At 39.5% G+C, this 10,405-nt stretch overlaps 1 protein-coding gene across 1 annotated transcript in view; it reads right to left on the minus strand.

Annotated features, from left to right (window-relative positions):
* The window catches only part of MMP20 (matrix metallopeptidase 20), a 48,501-nt gene extending 39,570 nt beyond the window's left edge, over positions 1-8,931 (minus strand). Inside the window, exons 1-2 of the mRNA NM_004771.4 lie at positions 8,793-8,931; positions 411-658 (exon numbers count right to left, since the gene is read on the minus strand). Of these exons, the coding sequence (NP_004762.2) occupies positions 411-658; positions 8,793-8,918 (374 nt within the window). The 5' untranslated portion in view covers positions 8,919-8,931. The remainder of the gene's footprint in view (positions 1-410; positions 659-8,792) is intronic.

The following is a 10,405-nucleotide window of genomic DNA, read 5'->3' on the forward strand; positions in this document are numbered from 1 at the left end:
GGAATGCATTTCTTGAATCATCAATAAAAGATTTTTGGAATCAATGAAATAAATTACTTTATTAGTAGGTTATTTTTTTCTTTCTCATTAAGCAGGTTGTTTTAAGAAAACTGGTTTGTACTGCCAGGTCATTAATCCTAGACTAGATTAAAGATAATTGTGTTGTTTCTAGCTGGTAAAATTGTTTGGAATGCCTAAAATAGCCAGTCATTATGATAATCCTAAAACCGTATTTTCTGGTGAATTGCCCATTGTCATTGCCTGACGGATGGATGTAAAAAGTTCTTATTCTTATGGTTGTGAGGTGTCAGGATTTTTATACGGATGAGAAGGAAAATATTTTTTCAAGAAAAGGGAAAAAGAGAGAGGTGGTGTTTTTCTCTGAATTTGGAAAGACTTGATCTCATTACCTGTATGTCAAAGTATTTTTTTTCCATTTGGGTTCACCAGGGAAGAGGCGATAATTGGCCACATCAGGAACTCCACAGCGAGGCTTCTTGATCACGTTCATTGTGGTCTGGTCTAACTTCCCGGTGACTTGGAGGCCAAAGAACGCTTGTAGCTCCTTAATCTTCCTTATCATGGAATTGCTTCCTCTTGCAACCATCTCACCAATCTGGTGTCCTTCTTTATTTGTGTAATATTTGTCAAGATACGCCTGAAATGGAGAGGCAGGCTGACGCGTCTACAGCGTAGTCTGGGAAATACTCATGCTCAGGTAAGGCAGGGGACAGCATTCCTGATGTATTAAAAGCAGTGTGTAGAGTATTTTCCCATTTATGAAAAAAGTAGACATATTTGTTTACATAAAGCTTAGCTATACTCCAAATTATTAACGATGATTGGTTTTGGGTAGTGGGGATTATAGATTATTTAATTATTTCCTTTTGTCCACCTGCATTTTATAGTTTTTCTACAATGCAATGAATATAACAAATACGCCTTTTTGCTTCTAATTTTTTTAAAAGAAAAAAATTCAGGGAAGGAAGCTGATGTGAACATTATTTCCATGGATCACTTATTTGTCACTGAAGTTCTTTACCCAATTTGCAAAACAAAGGCTATCTGGTTTCTTTGGTAAACAGTTATTGGTATCATCTTTCCATTGTACATAATGCAAGATCAGTATGCTTTTAACTCTTAAAGGCATTGTATTCCAGCCTCTCACACTTTACAAAGGCAGAGGGTCCACCTTTTTTTCAGCTGAGGATTTTAATGAGTTCAGATGTGTTTAGTATGTGGGCTGGATTTTGTTTCCATGAGACAACTTTCCTAGGCAAGGCTCTTTGTCTCTTGAAGCAAATAAAATAAGCCATAAATTATAAGGCTTTCATTTGCACAAAAAGACATAAAGCCCCTCAGTATATATTGTTCAAAACACTTTTCTATGACTCAGGGCTGGGATTAGGGTAAAACGAGTGATGCAGGGGCATGCAAATACAGGGTTGAGGCCTGCCTTTGGCTCAGGAATTTCACCTACTCAGCTGATTTTAGGAAAATAACCAAAGAGCAGCTAAGGGTTCAGTCCTCCTTTCATGTCCATGGGGGAATTGGTCCCAGGACCTCTCTCAGATACCTAAATCCACAGATGCTCAAGTCTCTGATATAAAATGGCATAATATTTGCATACAACTTAAGTACAGCCTCCTGTATGCTTTAAATCATCTCTAAATTACTTATAATATGTACTATAATATAAATGCTATGTAAATAGTTGTTATACTGTATTGTTTAGGGAAAAGCTACAAAAAAAATGTCTGTTTTGAACATGTCTTCCCTGAAACAGATGCAACCGTCGATTTTTTCCTGAATATTTTCAATCCACAATTGTTTGATTCCATGTGTACAGATCCCATGGATACAGAGCACTGATTGTATTTAATTATATACAATTTTATATTTATATAGTATAGACATGTTTATTTATTAGATATAAATTACATATTATTAGCCTATATATTAACCATATATTACCACATATAAACTATGCAAATTGTTTACTTACATATTATACACACATATTTTTAACATATATATAAAGATAATAAGTAATTGGGAGTAACCTTAATGTCTGATGTCAGGGGATTTATTATATATATTATCCTATATTTATATGAGACAGTACTAGGCCTCTACTAAGATCAGTTTTGAAAAATAAATATTTAATGGTATGAAAGAATGCTCTTTATGTAATGGCAATATACTGAGAAAAGAAGAGGAGAAATCTTTATAAGGTTATAATAATAATTTTCTGAATAAATCATACATATACACGCATATACACACACGCACACACATACAATAATAAAAGGAAGTCTGCCTGAATATTAATGTTGATTATGTCTGGGTAATGAAATTACAGATGACTTAATTTATTCTTTATTCCTTCCTATATTCCAAAAGTTTTTACAATGAGCATGAACCATTACTGCTGGGGAAAAAATAAAAAGGAGTAAGTATCACTCATGTTTGGAGAGGGTACGCTATTTTTTCACTGCAGGATCAGCTGATCCTTTACTCCCTGCCCTTCCTGTGAGAGAAGATCGCTTTCCCCATTGTTGTCCCTTGTAAAAACCTTAGGTGAGATGAGAAGCCAAGAGGAGGAAAAGGGAGAGGGAACATGGGGTGCCCAGGCTCTGAAACCTAGCCTAGGTGTTCTGAAACAAAGCTGCGACTATTTGGTTCCATTCCGTCTCTAGTTAGACCACCTTAAGTATTGATGTTTCTCATCTTTTTTTTTTTGCAAATGAGGTTGATGGGATGAATTGTTCCTGTCTGTGCAAGTTGATGCTGTGATAATGCAATGCTTGTGGTAATGTCTGAATTATACTCCTCAGGGTTAAGCTCCATGTATAAGACCAGGTCCTCTGTGTCTCTGAGATCATTGATTTCAAATATTTTGTTCTCCTGTTAGGTTATGTATTACACTCTACATTCTAGTTTTTGTTTCACAAAATAGGTTATATAAGGGAAGATGCTCATGATAAATTAAGTGGAAAACATGTTTGCCGTGTTTACCACTGCTGTTACAACATGAGCCATGTTTATAAACATAAGTGGTATCTAGTCACACCATCCCAGTCATATCACCAGGGCTGAGATGAGGCCAGTGGTGGGTTACCAAAAACTCCGTAATCAAGATAAATCATAATTTAATGCAGAATTAAAAAAAACAAAATAAATGCCAAAAAAATCCATGATAAACAAAATTTCAAAATTTTAAATACAGGATGCATTCCTGCTTTGGTTGTCTCACACTAATCCTGGCCCTGAATCATAGAAAAGTATTATGAAAGATATAGTCTAAGGGACTAACAGTGGTTAAACCTTAATAATGGATTTAAGATGATGTATTTTTAAAGATAGGGCTTTTACTTTTTTTTTTTTTACTATGAACCTGCGTAATTTTTATAACCAGCTGTTTGTTTCTTTAAAATATGCACAAAATGTTAGTCTTAGAGCACAAAAGGTTTCTGGCTGGTCATATAGGCAGGATTGAAATAGTACCTTTTAATGAAGTAAAAATAAAATTAGAAACTATTCCTTCTTAAAAACAAAAATTCATCACTGCAGTGATATAAACAAAATCTCTCCCTAGTTGGTGCTTCCATAAGATGTGATTCTTGTTCTAGTAAAACACTTGTCTCATTGCACCATAAACCATCACTTCCTACCAATTTCTTATCACTCTCACCTGCTTGTTTGCAACCTCCTTCCAGTCAGGCACCGTTTTGCCTTCACAGATGCAAACCCTGTGTTTGACTCAGTTCTAGGCTCAGAGTAGATGCTCAGTTAATGTTTGAGCTCTTTTTCTTTAGGCAAAATATGAAAGTATGTTTCCTTGAAGAATTATCAGATATCCTGAAGTACTGAGAGCTCAGAACTCTGGGCACTTTCTTGCTAAAGTTACTGACAAGGTTTTGGCATACTTTTCACTGTCACAATATTCTATCAGGCACTTAGGTGTGTACTTAGAATTGCTTTCATGTGATGCTCTAACACTTGCATATGTTGGCTCAGCACTTAATGTTGGCACTGGGACAAAGAATTCAGAATTCACCAGAGTTGTCCCATTTCCCTCCAATCTTCCCCACTTCCTCATTGTTAAAATTGTAGATTTTTGGGTCAATTATCAGGTGGTCCTCTCTCCACTTCTCTTCTGGTATCTGACAGATAAAAGTACAGGAGGCCAGGGGTTCCATTCCTGCAGGCTAGCAGCTTAGGTCTCCCTTCCAAGCCCTTATTCCGTGCATTTTCCTAGTGTCCTTCCTGAGACTTAAGAGTTTAAAACTCAGTTTAAGTACGCTCCAGGACAGGGTGAAACTTAAGGTACATTTCCTCAACATTTTTCTTTTTTGGCAAAGTCACTGTCAGGTTCCAGGATCAGGTTTGGGGCCACGACTACACTAAATGTCATTCTCAGTGTCAGGTTCCAGCCCATGCTGAGGTCTGAGGGGAATGGGTGGGTGGCAGATAGCTGAAAGAATCCTCAGGGAGGGGGTGAGGGCATAGGCAGATGAATATGGTTTTATTCAGCAGCTCTCTCATCAGCAGCTTTCTCACACTGTCCGCCCTGTTTCGGCTGCTTGAGCCGGCTGCTCCCACACACATCTGCGTGGCTGGCCCACCCTTCAGGGTCAGCAGCTTAACTCTTTCTCTCTCTGGGCACAAGCCGGTTCCTGGCTCCCTCCTACCCGCCTGCAAGATGGATACCTTTGGCTCTCTCTCTATTTCTCTGGGTGAGAGGACTCCTGTACAATGTCAGCAGGGCAATTATACCTTTTACAGACAATAGTGGCTTAGAGCTAAGTGATGGCCTTCCCATGTTATGGCTACATGGCTGTGATAACAAGTGGAAATGTACGCCTGCACCCTAAACTCGCTGAGTCACGCAGGATGTTTACCTTGGCCTATGCCCGCTTGGCTGCAGCACAGCCATGTTCCTTACAGTCACACAAATAGATTTGTGAGAACTTTTAAAGCTGTCTGAAAAATCCTAGGTTCTAGTCCAGGCTGTGTCACTAACACGCTTGGGCAATTCTTTTAATTTCTTGTGGTTTCAGTTTTCTCATCTATAGAGTGGTTTCTGCCCTACTGGCTACGTGAGTGTGAGGATCCAATGAGGTCCTCAATATGAATGCTTTTAAATGTGACAAAATACTTTCAAATGCCCTTTTACTCATTAAGTCCATGTCTGGAAACCTATCCTGAAAAAATAATTGTTTAAATTAGCTTGATGTACAAAGATGCTTATAGAAGCCTTATTCATATGGAAGTAATCTATTTGTTAAAGGAAATGGTCAAATAAATTATAACTCATATTCTGGAATATTTCTGACTGTTTAAAGTGATGTTATGAAAATAGTATAAAACCAAAATTTTCTTATGACATAATAGTTAGAAAAGTAAAAACCACATTTTGAAGACAGTAACAATTTTAAAAAGTCTTTATCATAGAAAATAAAATGGTAGTAAAAACACCTGAATTAACAGTGTGTATTTTCATTTTCCTTAGTTATGAGTTCATAATAATGTGGTAGTTAAAATTTTTATTTTTAAGCATAATTTAAAAAGTATGTTTTAAATGTCATATTGACACTAATTTTGTTTAACAAACAAACAAACCCAGAATAAAATCCTGGATTATGAGAATAGGTAAGCATTTTGCCATCTTACCATTTTCAAAGCATTTAGGCAAATTAGCAAATCAGAATTTAAAGGACACAAGTGGACATTAAATAAATCAAGAAGCTGTTTATCTTTTCAAGTGTAGATTTTTTAGGGGAGGGAGAGGTGTATGGTGTTTGGAAACGTGGCCTCTCTGGTGTTTCCAGGAGCCATTTGTTCTTTCTTAGCGAGTGACCTAACAGATCACTTAGCAAGAAGAGAGCATCCCTAAGCACTCTCTCTGCTTAGCGTGACCCAGGCCACCAGGCACCAGAGGACCTGCTGGCCTCACCTGTCCTTGGGACTCCTCTGGGACCCTCTTTCCTGACCTCTGAGCTCTAGTCACATGGGCCTGATGATTGCATTCCAAGCAGCTGCTGTTTCCTCCGTCTGGACTGCCCCATCTCCAGGTCTTCACGTGACTGGCTCTTTCATGCAGCTCAGGTTCATCTCAAAGTTCACTTCCTCCGAGAGGACTTCCTGGACTACGCCATTAAAAATACTCCCTCACCAGACCACTGTCCCAGTCAGCAACACTCTGTCATCCTGATTAACTTCTTTCCAGGCTCACTGATCACTTTCTGAAACATCTTGTGCACTCATTGGTTGACTTGTTTATCTTCTCCCAGCACCTTCCCACCAGCTCCCTCATCCTCATGGAAGGAGCATAAGAACAGGGGCTTGATTTGTTTGATTCTCTCATATTTCTCCAGCATATGCCATGCTGTAAGCATTCAATACATGAACTTATGCTGCCTATTTTACTGCTTTTGTTTGTGATTTTATGAGGCTGATGAGGTTGTTATATAATGTTTCTATAAATTATAAGGTGGGATGTTATTAAATAATTGTTTCCTGTCATTGTGATCCTCATTAGAGGTTCAGCCAGATCATTCCAGGCTCCTGAGTGTCCCTGCCCAGAGCTGAGGACCAGGGCCATTGCAAGCAAAGGTGCTGTGTGTCAGGTGAGGAGATGTGGACAAGTTTCCCTGCTCCTTGGTCTAAGGTCTTTCTGAGAGTATGTCATAAGGGAGACAGAGAAGGGTTGATTTATTTTGGAGAGGAAGAAGTAAGGAATCACTAAAGGTCCCCAATATTCCCAGGCCATGCTACTGTTTCTAAACGTGCCTAGCTGACTCCTGACCAGCTAGAATAGCAAGAGTGACTCCACCCAAGAGTGTCTAGCCCAGGGGTCCCCTGATCCTGGGCTGCACCCGGAAACCAGTCTGTGGCCTGTTAGGAACCTGGCCCCACAGCAGGAGGTGAGTGGCGGGCCAGCATTACTTCCTGAGCTCTGCCTCCTGTCAGATCAGCAGAGTCATCAGATTCGCATAGGAGCAGAACCCTATTGTGAACTGCATGTGTGAGGGACCTAGGTTGCATGCTCTTTTGAGAATCTTATGCCTGATGATCTGAGGTGGAACAGTTTCGTCCCAAAACCATCACCCCTCCAGCCTCCTACTTCCCACGTCCATGAAAAACTGTCTTCTATGAAACTGGTGCTTGGCTGGTCTAGCCTTATTCCTTAATAGACTGGTCAGGGGTGACTAATTTTTTCTGCAAAGGACCAATAATTAATATTCTTTGCTTCTAGGCTAACCTCTGCCATTGTGGCACAAAAGCAATCATAGACAATCTGTAAACTAAGGGGCAGGGCCAACTGTAGTTTTCCTGAACTGTGGATTAGAAGGGGGGTCTCCCAACACCTCAGATCCATTCTGGCCTCAGCATGGCTCTCCTTCTGGAGGTCACAAAACCTCTTTAGTTTCAGAATCACAGTGGCATGAGGCAGGGTAGGGAAAATTACATTTGGGAAGAAGGCACCTAAAGCTAGGTGGCATGGACAAAATACAATTGAATAAGGATCCCAGTATCCTGAGTTATTTTGAATTTAGTTCATCTAAAAGTGGGCTAAAGTCAAAAGAAGTTCAGTTCAACATGGTTGTGCTGGGCATCAGCTGTGCTGTTCATCTGCGGGGCTGATATTTAAGTGTTTAATGACTGGTATGGCCGGGGAACTGACCAGTTAATAAGGATGAGTGGCAGAAACAATCGGTAGGGACATGCCATTGCACATGGGTGCAAATCAGCTCTACGATGCAGACAGCCAAGCGGTACACAGGTGCAGCCTGGCAGTCAGGAAAGCAGCCCTGAGGCGGAGCTGGTGATCACAGATGTGCTGTAATGTTGGCAGACTCTTGAAAGGGAGGCCTGTGTGCAAAAGCATTTCCTCTATATATCTTTCACTAATGTTGGAAATTCCATCCGTAGACATCCATTTCTTTAGGTTAAGGATGCCACCCTTCTTTTAAAAACAAAACACGCTTGGAAGCATATATATATATATATATATATATATATATATATATATATATATATGTAGAAATCATTTTGAGTCAAGCAGTCTTTGTGAAATATTTGAATATGGATCATTTCTATCAGACCCTTTCCAGCAGTCATAGAGGAGAGATCTCAAAAGAGGAAAATACACAAAGTTTAAGTACATAAACGTTGTACTTTGTACTTACTACATAAACTTTGTTATGTACTTTGTACATAAACTTTTACTTCATTGGGGAATATGCTTTAGGGAGAAAAGGCCTTCAAATGAGAAGTGGGTTGGCACCCAGGAAGAACTTAGTCCACTTTAAATTTTGATCAGGGTTACCTTGAATATAAGAGCCATTTAAAAAGTGGAAACACAGGAAATCTCCTTGTTGTGACCGCTAAAGCTTAGCACTAAATTCACAACCTGCCTCTAGCGTGTGGATTATGCCTCGGTTTTTATTTTTCTGCTTCTATTTTTCCTCCTACATCATTCCCGGGAAGTACTTGTTTGCTCCTTTTATATTGCATGGTTTTCACAAGCCACCTGGAATTCTTTATGAAGCAAGATAGCTAGGTAGATATATCCTCATGTATTTATTCAGTCATGTAACATGGTACACCTAATATGCACCAGACACCAATCTAGGTGGACAGAAGATAGCATCAGTTAGACTTCAATGGACTTATATAAAATGATTTTAAAAGAACAATAGAATTTTTTTCTTATTTTCTCACTATGCCCTTTTAGGTTTTCTAGGGCAGAGGAGCAAGAAGGAATTGGGCAAAAATTCACAAACCTGTGCGAGGCGGTAGTTGTTCCTCCAGGTCCTGGGGGAGGCTGCAACTAGGGAGGGGGCTGCAGTGGAAAACTTCAAAGCCATGATGAGGAAGACAGCAAGGCCAGATGCAGGGAGCACCTTCATCCCCTCACAGTAGCTTGGTAATTATATCAGCCTGGGGGATGGCAGACAGTGCACGTTTGCACTTCGACCTTGAGCTCCTTTTATAGAGTCAAACAGGTCTGGACCCTCCGAGCAAGGATGATTCATGTCTCAAACAGTAATTATACAGCTCATTTCTCTCCCTGATGATGGGGTAACACAACTGTACACAGGAATCAGGGAAAGCTTCATATTTTTTTTGTTATTTACCAAGTGGCAAAAGGAGAAAAACAGTCACTTTTAATGAAGTTGGTCAGCTAGTTACAAAAATTGAAGTAAACTTGATTGATTTGAACCCAACTCAACTGAAACATTTGATTAGTCTTCATTTGGGGGCCTTTTTCCATTCTGATTACAGAAAAGTTAGATGATTACAGTATAATTGAATTTGTCCTCCAAGTAATCCCAAACTCCCCATGCATTCAACCCAATCGCCTGTATCTCCTGCATTCACTTCAAAATTTCTTAGTAGCAACTGCTGTTCATAATGATGGCTCTGAGACACATAAGATCCTGAATCATCAAGGCAAGATTACATTATACTGTGCTGACTTAGGGTGGAAAGTGAACTGGTAACTGTTAGAAAGCTTTTGGATGAATTAAGGCAAGAGTTACGTCTTCGTTAACCAAAACAATAGCCAGAACTCCCCAATCTCTGTGTACTCTGGTTAATTGGAGTCATATTGTTTTTCCTGGGTCTGATTAAGATGGATTTGGATCCAGAGATGATACGGTGAAATGGTGTCATATGGTGGGAAAAGCACTTAGAGTCAGACAAAGCAAGACTAAATATTTAAAAAGATATTTCCTAGCTGTGTGATGTTGGGTATGTCATTTAATCTCTGAATATCAAGTTTTTTTTAATCTACAAAAGACTGACAATACTACTACTATGTATAAACTTTTCAGTGTTATGGAGTAACACATATAGCATGACATCTGCAAGCACCACTTGGCATCCACTAGATGTGGATTCAAATCCTAATTTTGATTTTAGACTAAATTCAAGGTTATTCCTATAGTGAATACAGTGAATTCCTATAGTCTTTCTCACTCTGTTGCATTTTGATATGCTTTCTTTGCATGGAAGAGAAGATGGTGGAGTTACAGCCAATGTTTGGTATCTAGTGTACAACCCCAGGCACTGAACAAGAGTTTGTCACACATTAATATGGTTTGGCTCTGTGTCCCTAACCAAATCTCATCTCGAATTGTAATCCCCATGTGTTGAGGGAGGGAGGGGATTGGATCATGGGGGTGGTTCCGTCATGCTGTTCTCATGACAATGAGTGAGTTCTCACAAGATATGATGGTTTTATAGGTGTTTGAAAGTTCCTCCATTGATCTTCTCTCTCCTGCTGCCTTGTCAAGAAGGTGCCTGCTTCCCCTTTGCCTTGCACCATGATTCTAAGTTTCCTGAGGCCTCCCCAGCCATGTAAAACTGTGAGTCAACTAAGCCTCTTTCCTTT

Source organism: Homo sapiens, chromosome 11 (genome assembly GCF_000001405.40).
Source record: "Homo sapiens chromosome 11, GRCh38.p14 Primary Assembly".
Lineage (NCBI taxonomy): Eukaryota > Metazoa > Chordata > Mammalia > Primates > Hominidae > Homo > Homo sapiens.